The sequence below is a fragment of the Homo sapiens genome, chromosome 9 (genome assembly GCF_000001405.40).
Source record: "Homo sapiens chromosome 9, GRCh38.p14 Primary Assembly".
Lineage (NCBI taxonomy): Eukaryota > Metazoa > Chordata > Mammalia > Primates > Hominidae > Homo > Homo sapiens.
In genome coordinates, this window is record NC_000009.12 from 383725 (window position 1) to 407383 (window position 23659).

The 23659-nt window shown below is 43.1% G+C and overlaps 1 protein-coding gene across 17 annotated transcripts in view; it reads left to right on the forward strand.

The window, feature by feature from the left end:
- Window positions 1-23659, forward strand: part of DOCK8 (dedicator of cytokinesis 8) — a 253999-nt gene that overhangs the window by 172468 nt on the left and 57872 nt on the right. For 12 of the 17 annotated variants that reach the window (XM_017015173.2, XM_047423927.1, XM_047423932.1 and 9 more), the window contains 6 exons: window positions 2607-2702; window positions 6747-6842; window positions 13061-13210; window positions 15422-15535; window positions 21194-21349; window positions 23206-23345. In XM_017015173.2, coding sequence (XP_016870662.1) covers window positions 2607-2702; window positions 6747-6842; window positions 13061-13210; window positions 15422-15535; window positions 21194-21349; window positions 23206-23345 — 752 coding nt within the window. The remainder of the gene's footprint in view (window positions 1-2606; window positions 2703-6746; window positions 6843-13060; window positions 13211-15421; window positions 15536-21193; window positions 21350-23205; window positions 23346-23659) is intronic. The other 5 variants (XM_011518045.4, XM_047423930.1, XM_047423936.1 and 2 more) reach the window with 1 other exon arrangement.

The window sequence follows — 23659 nt, forward strand, 5'->3', positions numbered from 1 at the left end:
ATCCCAAGGAGCAATGCCAAATTTTACAAGCATATAAAAACTGACATCCTGAGAGGGTTGATGGCTTGCCCTATGTTGTTTTTCCCTCTATGAATTCTTTATTTTTTTCATGGTAAAGCTTTACTTTCAGAACAGTTTTAGAGTTACGGAATTATATACTCTATACCCAGTCTCTCCTTTATTAACATTTTACATTCAAATGGTACTTTTGGCACAATTAGTGAACCAATATTCATGGAATATTATTCATTAAGTTCATCTTTATTCACACCTTCTCAGTTTTTCTCTAATGTCCTTTTTCTGTCCCAGGATCCCATTCTGAATGCCATATTACATTTTGCAGTCTTGCCTCCATAGGCTCCTCTTGCTGGAAACAATTTCTTAGACTTTCTTTGTTCTTCATGACCTTGACAGTTTTGAGGAGTAATGGTCAAGTATTTTGTAGATTGTCTCTCATTAGGAATTTTTTAAAGATTATGATATTATTCACATACCATAAAATTCACCCTTTTTTAAAAGATGGAGTATACGATCCAACAGTCTTTAATCTACTCACAAAGCTACCACGATGAATTCTTAGCCTGAATTTTTTCTCCAATGATCTGTGGCCTCAGGGTGGCCGAGCTATTAGAGTAATATCATTTCCCCTGATAAAGAGAAATCAAAATCTCTAGGTTTAGACACAGACACAGTTTCACCCTTACAAATTCCAGCCACTTGACACTGTGTGGTGTGAGGAAGGAAATCTGCAGGCCAGGGTTTGGGGCTGGGCGCCAATACTGCCCCGCTGTGTGGCCATGGGAAAGTCATGTAACTGTGCTGGGCCTCATGTCCTCATCTCTGCAGAGGTCCTGGTCCCTGAATGAACTTAAGAACCATCTACCCTGGGTCTTTTAAAAACACTGGATTTGGCCGGGCACCGTGGCTCATGCCAGTAATCCCAGCACTTTCGGAGGCTGAGGCGGGCAGATCACGAGGTCAGGAGATCGAGACCATCCTGGCTAACACGGTGAAACCCCGTCTCTACTAAAAATACAAAAAATTAGCCGGGCGTGGTGGCGGGCGCCTGTAATCCCAGCTACTCAGGAGGCTGAGGCAGGAGAATGGCGTGAACCCGGGAGGCGGAGCTTGCAGTAAGCCAAGATCGTGCCACCGCACTCCAGCCTGGGCAGCAGAGCGAGACTACGTCTAAAAAAATAAAAATAAATAAAAAATAAATGAAAAAACCACTGGATTCACCCCCTGAGATGCTGATGATCTGTAGTTTGAGCCATCAGGAATTATTCGTATTCTATCCTTTTTGACTTACAAAAATCAGTTCAGGGATGTGCTGGAGTGAGCTCATACCTGTTCCCAAAAGCTGATTGCTTAGTTTTCCAGAATTTTTTGAGCCAGTTTTGAAACAGACATTGTTAAAATTAAATCGTATAAACTTAAAATTAAATAAGTTATATTAAAAACAAAGGTAATCTGAATGCAATGTGGTATGCTAGATTGTATCCTGGAACAGAAATAGGACATGAGTGCAAAAACTGGTGAAATCCGAGTCGTTCGTGTTTAGTTAATAGTAACATATCAATGTTAGTTTCTTAGTTTTGACAAATGTACCTTACTATAAAAGATATTAAGAGAAATGCAATGAAAGTCATATAAGAAATACTACCTTTGTAACTTCTCTGTAAATCTAATAATAACTATACAACTTATACTTCAAAATTAAAAGTTCACTTTAAAAAGGTAAACCTAGTCCCTTCCTAATAATTTCACTATATGCTACAATATCTAAGTTCTTCCTTCTTTACGTTTACTGTGTCTGTGTGATGGAAATATTATATAATGGTTTGCTACCACACTGCATTTCTATGACATCGTGTTGGTAGATTGAAATCAGTTATGATGAAAGTATTTGTGGCACAAAAATTGGCAAATGCTACAAATTACCCCTACCCCCCTGACAACTGGTTGTTAAACATTTGCCAGCACAACACAACTCAGCCTCATATTGAAAGCCCCTTTCAGTAATACCACTTTCTGATCACCCAGGAAAGAAGTGGTCTGCAGCTATTACTGACAGCCTTGATCTTTCTATTTTTCTTTAATAAAATGAAAATATTAAATTTTTATGTGGACAGGGTTAGCAATTTTCGAATTATTTTGTTGCATGGGGAGAAAATGTCTGATAGAGCATGAGCACTCCACTTCCCTTCAGAGGTAGTTTTTGACAATGTATTGGTGTTTAGGAGACAGCGTGGTGCAGTACCGTACTAAACCACAGAGAGACACTGTTCCCACACATTTTTTCCTGGCGTCCCCTGAAGTCACAGACTCCTAGAAGGGACTACTCAGCAGCCCAGATTCTTAAATAGTTTTTAACTGTAGGTTGCTACACACAAACTATTAACGGGTGTTGTCTCAAGAGCAAGTAAAATTAGGTATAACTTCACTGTCTTTGCTTTGTTTTATATTTACTTATGGCAATTGTTTTACCTTTGTAACCAGGAAAAAAAATATGTATAAAAAAATGAATTCTGAGGTTGTGATTTCCAGATGTCTGGCTTACCTTTCCATGGTTGGTTGACTGTTAAGCCATGGTTTGTGTATTTTAGATCGCCGATCGCAACTGCAGCCGAATGTCTTACTATTGCTCTGGCAGTAGTGATGCTCCAAGTTCACCTGCAGCCCCAAGGCCAGCCAGCAAAAAGGTACTGAAGAGAGCAATGTGAGGTTCATCCCAGGATAAGAACAGAAGGATTTCCTCATGCCCTCACACTGTGCTTGGGAATAGTCAAAGTGCTCCCCTGCCTGTCCCTGATGTGCTAACACACACACACCCCACACACACTTTTGCAGCCCTGTCCTTTACGCCACATTTGACCACCTAATTGCCCATTAACTCAGTGTTTCTCCCACTTTCTCATGCATCAGAATTACCTGGAAGCCTTGTTAAAACTCATCGCTGGACCCTACCTCCTGAGTTTCTGATTCAATAGATCTGAGCTGGAGGCTCAAGAATTTGCATTTCTAACAAGTTCCCAGCTGATGCTGGTCCAGGGACCACATTTTGAGAACCACTGCATTGGCCTCCTTTTAGTAGAGGGAAAGCTGGGCACAAGTCATCCTTGACAAAAGTGAATGGCAATAATTAGGTATCATTTGTTTCAATACCATATAAACTAATATGAAATGCTTCCTCATAATTCTTCACAATCAGCCTTACCTATGAGTTCAGAAACTTTAAAAGCTGTTAAACTGCTTACCAGGATTTTTAAAGCAACAAAATTCCCCAATCATAGTCCCAGCCTATGTGGTCTGAGGGATGGAGGGAAAAAAAACTGTCTGCCCTAATTTCCTCTCTTCTAGGCACTCAAGAATCTCACCATTATAGTAGCTACTTAAGTTTTTAATGTCTTTGAAGACCTGTATTAAAATGTAAATATGGCAGGGCACAGTGGTTCATACCTGTATTCCCAGCACTTTCGGAGGCCGAGGTGGGTGGATCACCTGAGGTCAGGAGTTCAAGATAAGCCTGGCCAACATGGTGAAACCCCCTCCTACTAAAGATACAAAAACTAGCCGGGCATGATGGCAGGCACCTGTAATCTCAGCTACTCAGGAGGCTGAGGCAGGAGAATCACTTGAACACGGGAGGCAGAGGCTGCAGTGAGCTGAGATCGTGCCACTGCACTCCAGCCTGGGCGACAGAATGAGACTCCATTTCAAAAAAAAAAAAAAAGAAAAAAAGGGTAAATATGCTTATTGCAAAGGATAACACAGGAAGCCATTTGCAAGAGCTGACATCACAGGGAAATGTTTATTAAACAGGCAAGGAGGGAATGAGCCTCCCCAAGTCTCCCTTTGGACTGGATGAGGGAAAGACCAAGTGTGGGAGGGCCGGGGCCTGGTGCTGTGCACTTTGCAGTATTCCAGGCACCATATGTCTAGTGAGAGGTACCAGGATTTAACTATAAAAGGAAAAGTGAAAAAAGATATGGTTAGGCTAAAAACAAATTAGTCCACTTGCTCTAAAATTTAATATTAGGCTATCACAGGCCCTATGCAGTGACTGGTTATAGGTATTATACCATTTTCCTTTCTTAAAAACCATTATTTGCCTACAGCCTGACTTCTTTAACCCATGTCCTGTTTGGTTTCGCAGTTGCCATGTTTTGACTTGAAATGACCAGAATAGAGACATTTTATTTCAAAGGGAAGTTTGGCCAATATGTTTCCTTAATACCTTAGCAGACAGAGTTTTGCTGCTTGGCTATTTTATATAACCTCCAGAGCAAGGTGTTCTTGTAATAATGCTGCCCAGAAAGCAGCATGAATTACTTTAAGAAGCAGCTTATCCTTGTCTAATCTCTTCTTGCCATAAGACCCTGGCAGACAAACTGACCTATTTTCTAGAGGCGACCTTTGAAGCTGGGGGAGCATGTCTTTCCTACAATGAGAAGATCAAGGTGTAGTCCAGTTATAATATGTGCACAGTTAGACCACCTGCTAGACTAAAACTCAACCCCACGCCTCTCTCAAGTGAGACAGCTTCACTTCAGACTCACAACAGCAAACAAATGTGTTAACGCATATTAAAATTATTAAGGTTTGACTAACCTCACAAAACGAAGTGAAACCAGTCGATAAGCTGAAACACCTAAGCATTCTCCATTCCTCACCACTAACCCGCCTGGGATCTAATTGGTTAAAATACCCAAGCATGTATACAGAGATTTTCCTTTTGTCATCTTTTAGTTTAGCTAAGTAGCTCTCAAATTTTAATGTACGCAAGAATTAGTACATTGGGTTGCATGCGTACTGGACTCTGTGGGTAATTTTTTTTTTTTTTTGAAACAGAGTCTCACTTACTCTGTCACCCAGGCTGGAGTGCCGTGGTGCAATCTTGGCTCACTGCAACCTCTGCCTCCCAGGTTTAAGTGATTCTCCTGCCTCAGCCTCCAGAGTAGCTGGGATTACAACCGTGAACCACCACATCTGGCTAATTTTTGTATTTTTAGTATAGATGGGGTTTCACCATGTTGACCAGGCTCGTCTCAAACTCCTGACCTCAAGTAATCTGCCTCCTCGGCCTCCCAAAGTGCTAGGATTACAGGCATGAGTCAACACACCTAGCCCTCTGTGGATAATTTAAACGACTGTCAAGAGCAATGTTTGCTGTAATCAGTTTTTGCTTTAGGTGTTGACTTTAAAACTTAATTTGCAAATAAGGATATGATATTAGGGTGTTCAAATAGCTTTAGCTTTCTTACCTACTTTCTTACCAGAAAAAAAAAATGAGTTTATCTACGTTTATTCCAGGTTTTGTGGGCATAAGATGAAAGAAAACCACAGAAAATTCCCAGACATCATTTTTGGCATTAATTAGGGTGACCAACTGTTCTCATTTGCCCAGGACTGAGGGAGTCCCCAAGATGTAAGGTTTTCTATTTTAGGACCAGGACATTATCAGGCACACTGTAATGGATTGATTGCCCTACCTTTAGTCTTGAACTTCTTCCTCATCAAAATGATTGTCAGGAATATGAACACATAGCCAGATATGCTGTAGAATGGAAAAGGTATAAGTCACCCTGTGCACTATTTGCTACTGAGCAGTAGGTGACTTGAAGGGAAGTGAAGACGCAAAGTGGAGCTGGGGGACTTTCCAAGCATCTGGCCCTGGGACATAGACATTTAGATGTTGTAAGTTAAGGCTGATACTACTATGCCTTTCAGAGCCCAAGATCCTCTCATAAACCCCACCGATCCTGCTTCCCACAATGCCATATGGGCATTATAAAAACAAAAATTGTCCAGTCTCCTAGAGAGTTTAGACACCATCTAGACAGTGGTCCCTAAAGTGTAACCCTGGACCAGCAGCAGCAGCAGCAGCAGCAGCAGCACCCAGGAACTTGTTAGAAATGCAAATTCCCAGGCTATTGAATCAGAATATCTGGGGGTGGGGCCCCCCAGTCTGTGTTTCATCAGGCCCTGCAGGAGATTCTGATACACAGAGGCCGGGCGTAGTGGCTCACACCCGTAATCCCAGCACTTTGGGAGGCCAAGGCGGGTGGATTGCTTGAGCTCAGGAGTTTGAGACTAAGTGGGCAGCATGGCGAAACCCCATCTCTACCAAAAAAAAAGAAAAAAGAAAAAACTAGCTGGGCTTGGTGGTGCACGCCTTTAGTCCCAGCTACTTGGGACTAAAGTAGGTGGGAGGATTGCTTGAGCCAGGGAAGTTGCAGTGAGCGAGATTACGCCACCGCATTCCAGCCTGGGCGACAGAGTGCAGCCCTATCTCAAAAAAAAAAAAAGTTTGAGAACTGCTGCCACCAACCAACTGATTTTATGGATGAGAAAACTGAGGGTGAAGAGAGGAATGGCTTGCACATGGTCACACAGAGAGTTTTCAGCAGGACCCAAGAGGAAAGTAAGACAGTACCAGTTTTAATGGCTACCCAGAATGTTTCCCCCGTAGAATAGAGTTTCACTCCCAGGCTGAGTCCACTCCCTCAGATGTGTCTGTCCTGTGCAGCACTGACCCCAGCCTTCTATGCACCGAAATGTCCTCCAGTCTCAGGTGATCTCAGCACTGACTTTGCCATCCACCACTTACTGCCTAGAACATCTAAGACACATGCTTCAGGAACGAACAAGCTATTAAATTGGGGGGAATAAAAGAAAAGAAAAAAAGTGTTGGTGAATAATAATAGCCTTTGTTTCACAGCCTAATTTTTGTGGTTCTTATTTAGCATTTCCATGAGGAGCTTGCCCTTCAGATGGTGGTCAGCACCGGAATGGTGAGAGAAACAGTCTTCAAGTATGCCTGGTTCTTCTTTGAGCTTCTGGTGAGATTCTTGCGCGTTTGTATCTGTGCTCAATAGGCCAAGAGAAGCACACAGCAGAAAGGAATTGACATTTTGTTCACTGAGTTGCCCCTGCTGAAAACCTGGGGTGGTTTCTTGAAATCTAATAATCTCTCACCCCTCCCATCCTTCTTCCACTAAATTGTGTTGCTTCTACCATGAAAATCTATCGCCGTCCTGTGAGTTCTCATCACCTTCACCACTCTCCACCTGGCCACACACCATCATCTCTCATGTGCCTCTCGCAGTGACATCCTCTTTTTCCTGCCTGTATCCATTTTTGCTCTTGGCCCACCCATTCTGCACATGGCAGCCAATACTAAACAGAGAATGTCACGCTCCTTTTAAAAACCGATCGATGATTTTCACTGCACTGAGAAGAAAGCACAAATTTTTATCATGACCTAAAAAGCCCTTGTATGATTCTGTTGTTTTCCTCCCTCTCTAACCTCATCTCACGCCACATTCCCCCATCATTCAGCCACATGGTCCTCTTTTGGTGCTTTGAAGATGCCAAGGCCATTTTGGCCTCACAGCCTTTTCCAGATTCTCTTCCTGCTCCCTAACTTTCACCTCCGCACCCCCAACACACACAGTTTCTATTCTTCTCTGTAGATTTCAGCTTCAGTGGAACCATCCCCAAGAGGCCTTTTCTGACCACCTAATACTGTAATATATCTTCCTCTATTATCCTCCTTCTGAGCACCCTATTTATTTCTTTCCTAGTGGTTATCACAATTTCTAATTGTTTTTTCTGTCTCAGCGGTTAGATTTTCAGGATTTGGGTCTCTCTTGTGTATTATCCCATCTCTAGCCTCAGCACACTGCTTGGTACCATGCAAGGCCCAATTAATATCTGTTGGAAAACAGAATGAAATTTGTATATCTGTTTATCCTAAAACTTCTACCATTACTCGAGCAGAAAAGCAAAAGGTATAGCCATAATACCTTAATTTTAAAATAAGGGGAATAATAGTGATAACTATTTTTTTGTTTAATTATTAATGGAAGCAAAAGGATTTTCCCATAGAGGCACTAAAAATAAACATTTTCTCAATGTTGATAAACAGAGATGCATAATGAGATGATGTTGAATGAAAGAGGTCTAAAGACATAGACACCAACTATATAAAAATATATATGCAAACAGTTCAGAGGATTTGGAGTAGGTTGAGATTTAGTGATAATGTTAGCTTTATATTCATTGGGTTCTTTCCCCTGTCCCATTAAGTGAATCTTTTTTTTTTTTTTTTTTTTTTTAAAGAGAGTCTAGGCTGGGTGTGGTGGCTCACACTTGTAATCCTAGCACTTTGGGAGGCTGAGGCAGGCAGGTCACTTGAAGTCAAGAGTTCGAGACCAGCCTGGCCAACGTGACAAAACCCATCCCTACTAAAAATACAAAAATTAGCCGGGTGTGGTGGCGGGTGCCTGTAATCCCATCTACTCAGGAGGCTGAGGCAGGAGAATTGCTTGAACCTGGGAGGCAGAGGCAGCAGTGAGCTGAGATTGCGCCATTGCACTGCAGCCTGGGCAAAAAGAGCAAAACTCCATCTAAAAAAAAAAAAAAAAGAGAGAGGGACTAAAGAGATGGGAGGGGTTCCACCTAAGCTCTAGTTTTTGTATGTAAGTTGAAGCCCAAGAAAAAGGGAGAAATGCTGAACAATAGGACACAGAGAACAAAGGGCAAAGGAAACAAATGAACCATCCACTGGGGAGGAAATAGGAAGCAATGTGGAATAGAGTTCAGAAGAAGTCAGGTTCATGCCACAGAAACACACCCAGGATTCAAATCCCATGAAGTTTTGCAAAGTCCCAACCTCTGTTTTGAGAAGGGTCCCAAAGCATGGTCCCAAATCCTTGCCACAGAACCACCTGGAGGTGCTTAGTAAAAATAAAGCAGAGATTCTTTCTCAAAGCACTAAAATTAGGAGGCTGGAGGCCAGCATTGTGCATTTACCTGTCTTCTCAGGTGACTTCTAAGCCTGTTAATGATCCACTGGTCTACACCACCTCTGTTCTGTGAATCCTATACAGAGCTACAGGTCTTTTGGAATTTGTACTCAGACAACACCAGAATTTTTTTTTCATTCCAAAAGCCGAGCTAATTAAGGTGGTGGCTGCAGCTCACAAGTCTTGGGGCAAGAGCATTAACAATGAGACATGAGCTCCATGCTCTGGCAGGAAAGGGACTGGGCCATAAGACCCATTCCCCTCTTGTTTCTTGAGGCATGAGAAGTATCAAAACCGTCACCCCATGCCCTTTATATCCTGCTTCTATTTACACATCCCACCCACCATCATGTCTCTCCATAAAGAAGATTCACTCAGCCTAGCTCTGCAAAAATGAAAAAATTACCTGGGTGTGGTAACATGTGCTTGTAGTCTCAGTTACTCAGCAGGCTGAGGCAGGAGCGTCACTGGAGCCTAGGAGTTCAAGGCTGCAGTGAGCCTTGATCATGCCATTGCACTCCAGCCTGGGCAACAGATTGAGACCCTGTCTCAAAAAAAAAAAAAAAAAAAAAAAAAAAAAGAAGAAGAAGAAGAAGATTCACTTGAGTCATAATCCAGCTATGGATAATTCATACAAATAATTCATTCCCAATGCGGAATTCAGCATTGCTTATTCTGAGTGGTTCCATGTGGCATCTTAGAGCTCTCTTTCCAAAGGAAGTTTGCATTCTCTGCAGGTGTAATGATGTCTCTGTTCTTCACAGAATCCCAATAATAGTTGGCATACCAATAGTTGGCATACCAATGGGAGAAAGAATAATCACATCAAAACTACTGAGCATCTTACTATATATGTGCCAGGCAGTGTTTTAAGCATTTTAAAGCATCATCTAATGTAATCATTATGCAATCTTGAGGCAGGAGGAACTTTTATTATCCCAAATTTACAGATGGGGTTGGAGGAAGGGTGGTGGCCATAAAGAGAGTCTCCAAGTCAGCCAAATGCTTCAGCAGTACCACTTCACTGCCCCTAACTGCTTTTGGCCTTGCACATTTATTTACTAGGGCTTCGTTGGCCCAGGAGAGAAAGCATAAGCTAAAGCACATGGCCCATCTTACCTCTAGGAAGTCCCTTATGGTAAACAGATGAAGTTTTTTGGGAAGAAAGCCCCTGCTGATCTAAGCATATTGCAGGGGTTTGTCAACATGCAGATCACCCAAGACACCAGTTCTACCAGCAGCCTAAAACCTAAGTCTGTCAGGTTCTGGCAGGACAGAGTTTCCGTTGCCCAAAAGGGTTAACTGAAAAGCATTGATCAAAAGGACTCTGCTCAGCATGTATGGGAGGTTCAGGGGCCAATGAGGATTGGTGAGAGCCCCCAGGGTACAGCAGCTGGCAGAAGCCTTTCTCTATGCTAGCTCTAAAGAATCAAGAGTATAGCAGAGTAACTGGGGCCTAGAAAAATCTGGAGGCAGATGAGACAATCTTAGAAAAGGAGCCTGGGGCCTTAGAAAAATGTTGCCACTACCAGGACCTCACTGCAGCAGGGATGAGGGCAGTGGAAGTGAGTAACTACCTGGGCCTCTCTGTTCTCCCACGTAATGATCCCCTTGTTTGTGCTCCTGTTGGCCAACTCCAACTGGAAGCCAAAGGTTAAGGGGGCCTGAGTGATGTGGTCCCTCGAGACCCCCTTCCCAGCATTCAGAGACAGACAGAGAAGGACAAGAAATCCATCAGGGAGCTGGGGTAGGGGCAAATGGAAACTATCATCCCCCAGCCAGAACTTTGCAAGGAAATTGATCTCAGACTCAGACAAGGTGCCCAATTCTTCATACATTGTTTATGCATTTGCCTGACCAATGCCCAGGAAGTTATTTGAAAACCAAAACAGTTTTGTTTTGTTTTTTTCCAAGAAGCTTGAGAAAGACAACAGCTTCCTTGGCCTTAGCCAACAACCTGGGCAATTTAACACCCTCTAGTTGTGTCAGTGCCCAAGCGCTAATGAACAACCACTTTGGCATTAGAGCTGTTAAACACAATGCTTGGGCGACTTTCACACTTGCTAATGAATAAAATCCCTGTGCTTCTAGAAACTGCTGAGCCAGACCTTGGAGAAATAGAGATAAATGGGTGACCTAGTTTACTCACTCAGGACATGAAGTTCCACATTAAGGGGTTCTTTAGAGGTACCCTTACTTTAAATGGGCCACAAAGGCCCATATAGGGGGAAAGATTTCTGTGCCTCGCCCCACTCAACAGGGCCAGGCCTCCACTAGTGTTTCTACTGGATGTTCTTCTCTGGAGATCTGGAGGACACAGTAGCTGGCAAGCTGCTGACAGTCTGGAAAGAGGCCATTGGTTGGAAGTATGGTATTGTGAGAATTATGTATTTGGTTGTAGGATGGCCAAACTCAGCAGACAGGAGCCAAATACAGCAGTGAGTTCTGAAAGCCTTAGTGCTGGGATGGTTAGCCTGCCCAGAATCAGGATTGGCATTGCCCAAAACAAAGAGGCCTTATCTTCTTAAGTCCTTTGTTAGGAGCATAGTGAGAGAGAGGCTTTTTTCGGACAAAAATGGGTCCAGTTCCCACCCTTCATTCGGGTCTTCTCACCAGGTGCATGCGGCCTTGTGGGATATGAAGCCATCTCTGTGTCCCAAACCAAAGAGGATGCCGCCATGAGGAGAAACCATGGTTTCTCTACTGAGCTTTAGGGTTTGATGTCCTTAGGTCTTCCCTGAGCTGGCCATGGCGTTGTCTGAAAACATGAAACACATAAAGCCTGTGTCTCTGGTTTTTTCTTATTTTGCCTTCCCTTTGTTTTTTCTGTTTGTTTCCATGCTAACAAAAATTGCCAGTGCTGCATGCATCCTTAGAAACTGAATTCTGCTGTTAGTGTATTAACGTTCTCTCATGTAGCTCCTGGGAGTGGAAGTCCCCTCTTCTTCCAGTCTCAACACAGAGGGCAAATGTGGGTGGTTCAACTTCCAGTGCCATTAGTAGTAGTAGTAGTAGTAGTAGTAGTAGTAGTATTGCAGTGGCTGTCTGACTAATCTAGACGCATACATGAAAACGTTTTCAGAGTGTAGGGACCCAACCACAAGACCTTCTAGTCTTCCCCATGTTCCTAATAGTGTAAGCAACTTCCAACAAGGATAAGACTCACCCTCAGATGGTGACAAGGGGGCCCATATTGACCTGTGAATCTCCTGGCCCCAAGAAGATGTCCAAAAAATAAGCATGATCTTGATTTAAAATTGTGGTAGGCATTGAGATAGTATTATTCTAGTCATAATGCAGACAGTCACCAATTGACACAAGGATATCTATATATAGATACGATATGTATATGTATGTATATCCATATAGATATATCTGTATATAAATATCTTTCTGTCAGTTGACGAATTGTTTGCATTATATATGTAACCACAGTATACACCAGTTTGTGTCAATTGGTGACTTGTATTGACACAAAGATATCTATATAGAGATACTAGATATAGATAGATAATCTGTATATAGATATTTTTGTGTCATTTGGTGACTGTCTGCATTATGTAACTAAAAATTAGACTTATGGAACTCAAAATTTCCCCTAGAGGTAATGTTTTCCCTGGAGGCAATGTTCTAAATAGTGGTTCTGTTTCCAGCTGGCCAACATTTCCTGCTCAATATATAATATAGCTAAAATTTATAGGAGCAGAAGATAACTGCTGGAAACTATAGAACTGTTTCTGGAAAAACTGTGCTCCCTCGAGAAACACTGAAACTCAAGATAGGAGGAACATTTCTCCCACGTTCTCCTTACTGTAGTTTCAGGAACAGAAAAGACTTTAGTTCGCATCAAGAACCTTGTGATAAACTGTTCCTTTCTGAGTCATGTGTTCTGTCCTATGATAGAGGACACCTAGCTGGTTACAGGAGCCCAGCTCAGGTCTGCCTTCCAGGATGTAGGCAGTTGAGAACACTGTAGCTAAAGAATTAAGCTCCTGGCTTTGTCAGCAGCAAGAAGGGAGCCTCTGACTTGGGGTCAAAAAGAGGACACCCTTCCCACCTCCCGCCACCATGGTAACCATTGGTGTGTCTGCAGCATTTTAGTCCAGAGCTTGCTCGGGCACCACCAGCACAGATAAAGTGTCAGAAAATCCATTGTTAGAGAGCATTTCTGTGAGTCTTTCCCCCTTTTCTGCATTGTACAAGCAGGTCACCAATCTCCATGTTGACATTTCCTCCATCCCCCTCCGCAGGTGAAAAGCATGGCCCAGCACGTACATAACATGGACAAACGGGACAGTTTTCGGAGGACTCGTTTTTCTGACCGTTTCATGGATGACATAACTACTATTGTTAATGTGGTCACCTCGGAAATTGCAGCCCTTTTAGTAAAACCACAGAAGGTAACTGTATTTTACTCTTTATTTTCTAAATTGTTTACCTGGAACATATATTACTTTCATAATCAGAGAAAAATAAGCATCATTTTAAAACAATAATTAAAATATAACTGTAATGACAGTTAAACGCAGTATGTTATACTGGACTGGACCCTGATGTGGGGCTGGAAAATTGTTATAAACAAATTACACACATGAGGCCAGGGGTTCGAGACCTGCCTGGCCAACATGGTGACATGGTGAGACCCTGTCTCTACTAAAAATATAAAAATTAGCTGAGCATGGTTGTGCATATCTGTAATCCCAGCAACTGGGAGGCAGAAGCAAGAGAACTGCTTGAACCTGGGAGACAGAGGTTGCAGTGAGCCGAGATGGTGCCACAGCACTCCAGCCTGGGTGACAGAGTGAGACTCTGTCTCAAAAAAAAAAAAAAAAAGAAATTGCAATATGGACTGTGGTTTAAATGATCATATCAGGCTGGGTGCAGTGGCTCACACCTGTAATCCCAGCACTTTGGGAGGCAAGGGTGGTCAGATCACTTGAGGTCAGGCATTCGAGACCAGCCTGGCCAACATGTTGAAACCCCGTCTCTACTAAAAATATGGAAAATTAGCCGGGTGTAGTGGCACGTACCTGTAATCCCAGCTTCTCGGGAGGCTGAGGTGGAAGAATCGCTTGAGCCCAGGAGGCGGAGGTTGCAGTGAGCCGAGATGGTACCACAGCACTCCAGCCTGGGTGACAGAGTGAGACTCCATCTAAAAGAAAAATGTAGATATGAAAGATAATATTTTTGCTCTTAGGAAATACACCTTGAAGTGTTATGGGGTAAATGGGCATGATATTTGCAACCCATTCTCAAATGGTTCAGAAAAAAATGTTTTTATGTTCATAGAATGATAAAACAAATGTAGCAAAATGTCAAGTATTGATAAGCTTCGTTAAAGGGTATACAGTAGTTCTTTGTACTATTCTTGCACCTTTTCTGTAAGTTTAAAATTGTTTCAGAATAAAAGCTAAAACATATATAAAATGGAATAAATCAAATGTTTAAAAGGCAGCTACAAAAATCTTAGGAAGCAATGTTTATTATTAATCGCTTTGTCGTTATTGAGAATGTGCATAGTACCAAGTGCTCAGGAGATTTTCATTCGGTTATTCCTCATGGCAAACTTTGTTGGAACAGCATGGTATCTCCACATTGGCAGGTGTGAGAATAAGGCACAGTGAGGTTGATAAATTTTCCAAAAGTCACACACAGCCAGCAGTAAAGCCAAGACTGGAGATTTTAGACCCAGATACTGAGTCACGTAAGGCACCCAGGAGGAGTGGCCATGTGGAGAATGCGGAGAGAGTTCGAGGACCTCTCAGCGGCACGGTAGCAACCTCTTTATCAGGTCCCCATCCATCCCAGTGACTTGACTGGTCAGCATGGCCTGAATTTGCAAATTGCATGTTAACAAAAGCAAAATAGTTTCAAACCATATTTTTAATAGTGTCAAAGGAAATTGATTTGTCATTCTGAGAATAAAGGACATAAACATGAAAAACTGAATCCCAGATTGCTCTGAAGCACTGTAAAATCCCTCATAAACAGGAGCACTGAGAAATAATACAAATTAAAAATTTTAAAAATAGGCGTAGCTTATTAATTGGGATTCATGGAGGAATTTACCCTACGGAGTGAATACACCCTGCGGAGTATGACTCTGACCTCTCTTAGGCTGGAAATGCTGCCTAATTGAGGAATAAATTTCTTAGGTAAAAACTAATTCTTTTATCCTGATTGGATTTTCTGTAATAATCCTTAAAAATTAAGAAACTGTCTCATTGAAAACAGTAAGTATTTTTCAAGTCAGTTTGCCAAAAAAAAAGAAAATAGTTACAAAAAAAAAAGTTACCAGGATATAAAAAAAAGTAGGATCCAACATAGTATATAGAGAATGAGGTTAATTATACACATATAAATATGCATGTAGAAAAAAAAGTGACTGGAAGGAAATGCACCTAAATATTAACAGTGCACGAATAATTACTTGATTCAACCTCACAGTCATGGCTTTAGTTAAAGGAGACTCAACTACTTCGCCCAGTGCCACCCAGAAGGACAGTGGCTGAAATAATAGGACCTGTCTCTCCCAATGTTCCCACCAGTGACCTGGAAGTTCAAATCCAGAGTGTCCCACAAAATGATTTGGGTGTTTGTTTGTTTTTAAGGAAAATGAACAGGCGGAAAAGATGAACATCAGCCTGGCTTTCTTCTTGTATGACCTTCTCTCCCTCATGGATCGGGGCTTTGTGTTTAACCTCATCAGACATTATTGCAGCCAGGTGAGTGTCCCCCCCACCCCCACCCCCGAGCGAGCCACTTGGTTCCTTCTCATATAATGTGATGTTCGTTGCCATGGCACGCTGTCTTCTTCATTACTGAGTTGGCATGAATCCTACACATCCTGTGTTTTGCAGCACGTCCCTCATGTCTGTGCCATGGACATTCCTCAGACATGCTGGTTTACCTTGATTCCTGGAGCATTTACCGACAGTGTAGAAGGGTCAACAGATTCATCTGTGGGAATTAAAATTTGTGATATGATCTGAATCTTCAATTTGACATTCAACAGAAAATTAACATGGCTATACAGTGCTTTCAGTCTTTGACAAGTCCTTGCGCTCCCAGTCTGAGGTCTCTTTTCACATATTAGGGTAATTAATTAAATTGCTGTTGTGATGCTCCGACTTGAAAGAACCTTTTTAAAGTGTTCTTAAATAAAATCATTCAAAGAGATTTAATTTCACTGAGCACATAGCAAATATTTCATAAACCAAGTGCATCTATCAGTGCCATCCCCCCAGATTTTTAAATGGAATTATTCATGTGCTGTCTCCCTCAAACTACCTTAACAATAGTAATATAAATAGCAGTTATTGTTGCTGCTCCTCTCCTTCCATATCCCTAATCTAGCCACTAGTACCATCATTACTGCTACTACTACCACCAGCCACCACCATTCTCATTAGTCCCATGCCCACTATCACCACCTTCTCCACCATCACCACCTCCCACCACCTCCACCACCTCCACCATCACCACCACCTCCACCATCACCACCACCACCTCCACCATCACCACCTCCTTCACCATCACCATCACCACCACCTCCACCATCACCACCACCACCTCCACCACCACCAGCATCTTCACCATCACCACCACCTCCACCATCACCACCACCACCACCTCCACCATCACCACCTCCTTCACCATCACCATCACCACCACCTCCACTATCACCACCACCTCCACCATCACCACCACCTCCACCATCACCACCACCTCCACCATCACCACCACTTCCTTCACCACCACCACCATCTTCACCGTCACCACCACCTCCACCACCACCACCTCCTCCACCACCACCACCTCCTCCACCATCACCACCTCCTTCACCATCACCATCACCACCACCTCCACCATCACCACCACCACCTCCACCATCACCACCACCTCCACCACCACCAGCATCTTCACCATCACCACCACCCACCTCCTTCACCATCACCACCACCTCCACCATCACCACCACCACCTCCACCATCACCACCACCTCCACCACCACCAGCATCTTCACCATCACCACCACCACCTCCACCATCACCACCACCTCCACCATCACCACCACCACCTCCACCACCATCACCACCACCTCCACCATCACCACCACCTCCACCACCACCAGCATCTTCACCATCACCACCACCTCCACCACCACCACCACCTCCACCATCACCACCACCACCTCCACCACCACCAGCATCTTCACCATCACCACCACCTCCACCACCACCACCACCTCCACCATCACCACCACCTCCACCATCACCACCACCTCCACCATCACCATCACCACCACCTCCACCATCACCACCTCCTCCACCATCACCACCACCTCCACCACCACCACCTCCCCCACTACCAACAGCTCCTTCACCATCACCACAACATCCACCACCACCATCACCACCACCACCACCACCTCCTCCACCATCACCACCTCCTCCACCACCACCACCATTAGCTCCACCATGACCACCTCCTTCACCTCCACCATCACTTCTTCCACCATCATCATTGTCACCATCATCACCACCACCACCTCCACCACCATCACCACCTCTCCCATCACCACCACGTTCTCTGTGGTTAGTCACTTAGTGACTTTAGATAAGTTTTTCCAATTTTATGGGTCTTAATTTCCTCAGTTTTAAAATAAGAAGGGGGGGTTGAGAGATTTGAGGGCTGATCAACGAAAAGGATAGGACCATAAAAAGCAGTGACATACAAGCTTCATTGAGCAGCACTTGGACAGGGTTACATAAGAGCGGAAGCCCCTCCCAGCATGAGAACAGCCATAGGCCTGCAGTGAGGAGGGGACCATCCAGAGGAGCAGGGGAACTCCCAGGGGAGAGGAGGATTAGGGCAGAAGCTTATAGATCTGGGTGAGGCTGCTCCACAGCACAGTAGGGAGTCTCTGGGTCAGAGAGCTCCAAGGGCTGTAGCAGCTTAGGGCCCTGTATCTGCAAGGCTCTATCTTATCATTAGGAAACAGCTGTCCATCGAGATTTTATGGGGTCTGCAAAGGAGGCAGGCACTAAATGGATGAAAATCTGCTTATATGAGCTATTTTTGTTAATGACTGGGCATGGTAAAATTTGAGTTAGGTATGAGCCAAGGGATCAGCACCAGTCGACAGTGAAGAAATAAACAACCGAGGGGCCAATACACAGAAACAATCTTTGACTTGTTTACATAACACCTCTCCTCCAAAAAAAGAAAAAGACATGACTTTTCTAAAGGAAGTCCTGTCTACAGCCATACCACCCTGAACGCACGCAGTCTCATCTAAGGGAAGTCCTGATAAGGAAGCAGAATAATAAAAAAGAATCCTAAGGAAACATCAGAAGTCCCCAAGCATCCCCATCCCATGCACCCTGACCCCTGCCCTGCAGCGGATCTTCTGTCCCAGGACCCACCAGAATAGAATGGCAGAGGGACACTTCACTCCTCCTTGCCCTCCCTCTTCAGTATTTAGGATTCCAGGTTAGTCTGTTTTCAAAACTTTAAGTTGAGTGTATGAAAGATACCCTAGATCACCACTGCAGACCCAGGCTTAGCTACTCACATGCAGGCTATCTTCATTCCCGACAGGGAAATAAGGCAACCCAAGGTAGATATCTGCCTTCCCTGCAAAACTCATGTTTTTATTTTCTCTTTCTCTTTCCTTTCTTTTCTCTTGCTCACTATCTTTCTCCTTAAATTCTTCCCTTTTCTTTTAGTTACCATTTCTTTTTTTGTTTCTCTCCTTGACTCAAATGCCAAAGATCCCTAGACCAGGAGTCAAGAAGCCTGCATGCTGATTCCTGGGACACCATTAATTACTTCTGTGATTGGGAGCATCAGCCTTTGAGGCATTCATTTCCTCATCTGCAAAAAAACTAGGCTGGATTAGATTTATCCACTGATTCTGTGGTCTGTGTCTGCCAGTGACATCCACGGATGTTACTTAGCACCATTAGTGGCACTCAGGCCTCAGAAGGTCACTGACCCCCATTCGTGGTGATTTAATTCATTGATCCCAGCTCTCTAGATACAGGATGAACTTCATACCTTAAGCAAGTTGTATTCTTACAAAGTCGTCTGACTTTATCATTTTGCATAACCTATTATGTTTTCTGCCATCTAAAGATTTTGTGGCAATGGATATAACCTTAGTCTTTTTTAATAGTCACTAAAAATAGACAAATCCATTTCCTCAATTACTGTCTGTCACTTACAATGTGCCACTAAGCAAACACCCATCCCTTGGGTAGGGGCATTGTGGGTCTTGACCTTTGGGAAGGAAGTTTTTGGAATGCACCTTACTCCTCTTTTCAAAACATCACTCAAATTGTTTTTGAAATGTCTATTTTTTTTCTTTTGAGATGGAGTCTTACTCTGTTGCCCAGGCCAGAGTGCAGTGGCACAATTTTGGCTCACTGCAAACTCCGCCTCACAGGTTCAAGCGATTCTCCTTCCTCACCCTCCCGAGTAGCTGGGATTACAGGTGTGTGGCACCACTCCCCGCTAATTTTTGCATTTTTAGTAGAGACAGGGTTTCACCATGTTGGCCAGACTGGTCTTGAACTCTGGCCTCAAGTGATCTGCCTGCCTCTGCCTCCCGAAGTGCTGGGATTACAGGTGTGAGCCACCACACCCAGCCTGAAATGTCTGTCTTGAATGATGTCTCAAGGGACCTATGAAAGATACCCATAGTGGGGCCTTCTTTTAAGTGCCAATGTGTTGTGGGTTCAAGTTCCGATAGCCGGCTTGACCCGACACCTGTTAATGAGTAACCTAAGTGACAGGCACATGACCAAGTTCTAATCCCTTCAATGTGCTGGTGGCTCCACTGGTCCAAAGTCAGCCAGGAGTGCACATCGAAAGGTTATGGGATCTGGTAACTGTGCTTACATAGAAGTCATATGTTTTGGTTTTAAAATAATATATAATGGCATTTACTTATTTTAAGTGGATGTCTAACTATGAATTAATTCTGTAGGCAATATGTCCCACAACACATTGGCTTCTTGTAAAATGGCTGAAAATATGTGTTCATTTAAATTATATTGTTTAGTCTGTAATCCCAGCACTTTGGGAGGCCAAGGCGGGAGGATCACCTGAGGCCAGGAGTTCGAGACCAGCTTGGCCAATATGGTTAAACCCCATCTCTACTAAAAATACAAAAAATTAGCTGGGCATGTTGATGTGCACCTGTAATCCCAGCTACTCGGGAGGCTGAGGCAAGAGAATCGCTTGAACCTGGGAGATGAAGGTTGCAGTGAGCCGAGATCATGCCACTGCACTCCAGTTCAACAGAGCAAGACTCTGTATCTCTCTCTCTCTCTCTCTCTCTCTCTCTCTCTCTATATATATATATATATATATATACATATATATATATGTGTATATATATATGTGTATATATATATATGTATATATATATATATGTGTATATATATATATGTGTATATATATATATATATAGTTTAAAAAACAAACTACTCTTGAAGTGAGTGAAGAGGAGGCATGTCTATCACAAGGATGATGCTTCATATTTCTGTGCTGGGGTGGGGGGTGATAATGATGAAATATTGAGGAGCTCAAGGTGCATCAGCGCCCCTTCCTTCCCCTATTTTGCCTTTAGAGGAGCTGCCTCTGAGTCTGGGTCTTTCAGTTGTTCAGCTTGCCTGGGGGAAGCAAGGGGTCTCTTCCAGACAGTCACCTTTTTCTGCTTTTCATTGCTTGCTTCATGGTTTATTTTTTAAAGGAAGATTTTTCCTAAAAACTCTTCTAGCTTTCTTTCTCTTTCTTCTCCATTTCCTCCTCTCTCAGTCTGGGACAAGCTCCTTGAGTTTTTTGCAGGTACTATGTACTTTGCTAAACAGTTTGATGCCTTTCTCTAGGGAACTGGTTCTACAACTTTCCAATGGGGCCTTTAATTAGAAACTACGAGAGAACACTTGTAGTATAAAAGTCATCTAGTCATATTCTATTAGTTTCATACAGGCTCATATGAGGTCAACTCCTTTCATTTAGTTTCTCGAACATAGTAGAGTTTTTGTAAAATTAATTATGTTACGGTGAAGATGTACCTCAAGATTTTCAGCACAGGCTTCCCATGGTATTAAAGATTTGATAAAGTGGAAATCGGGATAAGAATCCTCATTCTGGACAGCTACTAGGCTAGAATCACTAAGGGGAACAGTAATGAATGAAAATTTATTAGACCTCTCTGTAATGCAGAATTTACCATCTGTTGCACTATCCCATTAGTTTTTATTAAATTGATTGCCTTAACCTGGAGAGAAAGGATATTTTTGTGTCTGCCAACCTCAACTCCACTTACCTTGTAATAAATGTTTCATTCCTCTTTTCATTTTTCTTCCCAGCTGTCAGCCAAGCTCAGTAACCTTCCAACGCTCATTTCCATGAGGCTAGAGTTCCTGAGAATCCTCTGTAGCCATGAGCATTACCTCAATCTGAACCTTTTTTTTATGAATGCTGATACTGCTCCAACATCTCCTTGTCCTTCCATATCTTCCCAGGTAATAAAAGAATTATTTAACTAAAAGAATTATTCAAGCTATTTCATTTAACTAGCTCAGTTTAATCATGTATTTCCTATAAAGGTTAGTCTTATTAATTTGACAAAAAATCAAACAATTCAAACCAGATCAAGTATGCTACCCTGAAGTTACACCACTAGCTAAGAATTAACAATCTAAGTAATTGGTTTCTCCCCAGGCTCAAGGCTCCCTGATCAGGTTAAGTAAAGCCAAGAATCCAATAAGCCCTATGAAATTTAGAAACTCATAGAAAAGTCTCAAATCTTCCTTTGTCTGACATTAGCCAATTGTTATATTATGCAAATAGAGGATTCCAAAGTAAATAAGTTTTGGAAACCATGTATTCACCAGGTTTCTTTGCAGCAGGCCCTCTAAGAGGTTTTAACTTGTTCATGTCAATTGCAAATGCACGAGAAGCAGAAGAGGAAATGGGAGGAGGTGTGCATGATAAGCAGTGATTCCCCAAATGATTTAACATGGAAACCCCACCCCACCTCATACATTTTTTGAAATGTTACTCTGGAATAACTTTAAGAACATGCTGTTTGATAGTCACATTCCATTTATAGGGAACACATCAGTAGCTCAGAGCATCAGGCAAAATTTCTCATTATTAGGTTATATTTCTGTTGCATATTCCTTGATACTAGTACAAAAGTGAAGGCTTGTCTTACTAATTGAAAAAAAAATCTTAGCCATATATGCCATATGGCATGATCCAGATATTAGCTACATGACCATCTTACTGTGAACAGGGAAAGATCTGACTCACAAGCAGCAATTCAAAATGTATAAACTTTTTGCTCCATCCTGCCCAGCAGCTTAAGTCCTAAAACTTCCCTGGACTAAGCTTACCCTAGGTTCTTTCCCACCTTCCCCTTCTGACTGCCCCAGGGAGTGGCCAAACCCAGGGGCCAGGCTCACAAAACCATGAAGGATTTCTAAAGACACTTTAGATGCTCTTAATGAAATATAAAGTGTGCTCCCAGGATACAAATACAGGACAGGAATTACTGAGGACCGGTAAATCTAATACTTCCCTCCCTGACATCACTTGTAGTTCCAGGCCAGCAAAAGTCTGACAATGTGCTTAAGCCAAATTCAGAAGTGTAGCTGAGGCCGGGCACGGTGGCTCACATTTGTAATCCCAGCATCTTCGGAGGCCAAAGGGAGTGGAATACTTGAGGCAGGAGTTACCAGCCTGACCAACATGATGAAAACTCATATCTACTAAAAATACAAAAATGCATCAGGTGTGGTAGTGTGACTGTAATCCCAGCTACTTGGGACGCTGAGGCATGAGAATTGCTTGAACCCGGGAGAGGGAGGTTGCAGTGAGCTGAGACCATGCCACTGCAATCCAGCCTGGGTAACAGAGTGACACTCTGTCTTTCAAAAAAAAAAAAAAAAAAAAAAGAAGGTACCTGAGTAAGCAGGGCCTTAAACAAAGGGGGCATTTGGTTACAGAGGAATTGCCTGTTCCCAGCCCCAGGACTGGGTGAGGTTCTTATTTCTCTGTCCAACTTTTATGCTAGGATTTTTATCTTCAGCTTTTGATTTCAGGTGGGAAAGGGAGCGTCATTCATTTTTCAACAGACCCGGGGTGCTTTATTTTCATCTTTCCCGCTGGGCAGTCTTCTCTCTGTGGGTATGGGAAAGTGCAGTAACCACTCTGTGCCTCAGTTTCCTTGTCCGCCTTATCTGGCACCAGAGTACCTACCTCACTGGGGAGGGCTCACGAAGCCTGGCTGGGGCGAGGACTCAGTAAACACTGGCCATCGCTATTTTCATTCCAGTTCTTGTGGCTCATAAAATGGCTCCTTACGTTTCTGTAGAACTCAAGCTCCTGCTCCAGCTTCCAGGACCAGAAGATCGCCAGCATGTTCGATCTGACTTCCGAGTACCGCCAGCAGCACTTCCTCACCGGGCTCCTCTTCACAGAACTGGCTGCTGCCCTGGATGCCGAAGGGGAAGGGTATGTTTCTGGCATTTAAAATGGAAGATGAAGCCAAAAAAACAGATGTTCTTTAATAAAATTTGCAGTCTAGCTTCTCACACTTGGTAAAAAACTCTACTGTAGTTGACCAGTTCTGAGGAGTAGAAACATCTGTCTTGAGAATATGGTACCCATAAGCACAAGGCACAAGAAAGGCCTTTCTTGTGTAGAAAGGCACCAGGGATGGGTAAGAACTACAAAATGACTTTTCTTGGTCAACTATTTCAGTGGAATTTACCAGTTCTGCTATAGCAGGTTTCCCAAGGATGCTTTGATTAGTGAACTCCCTAGGA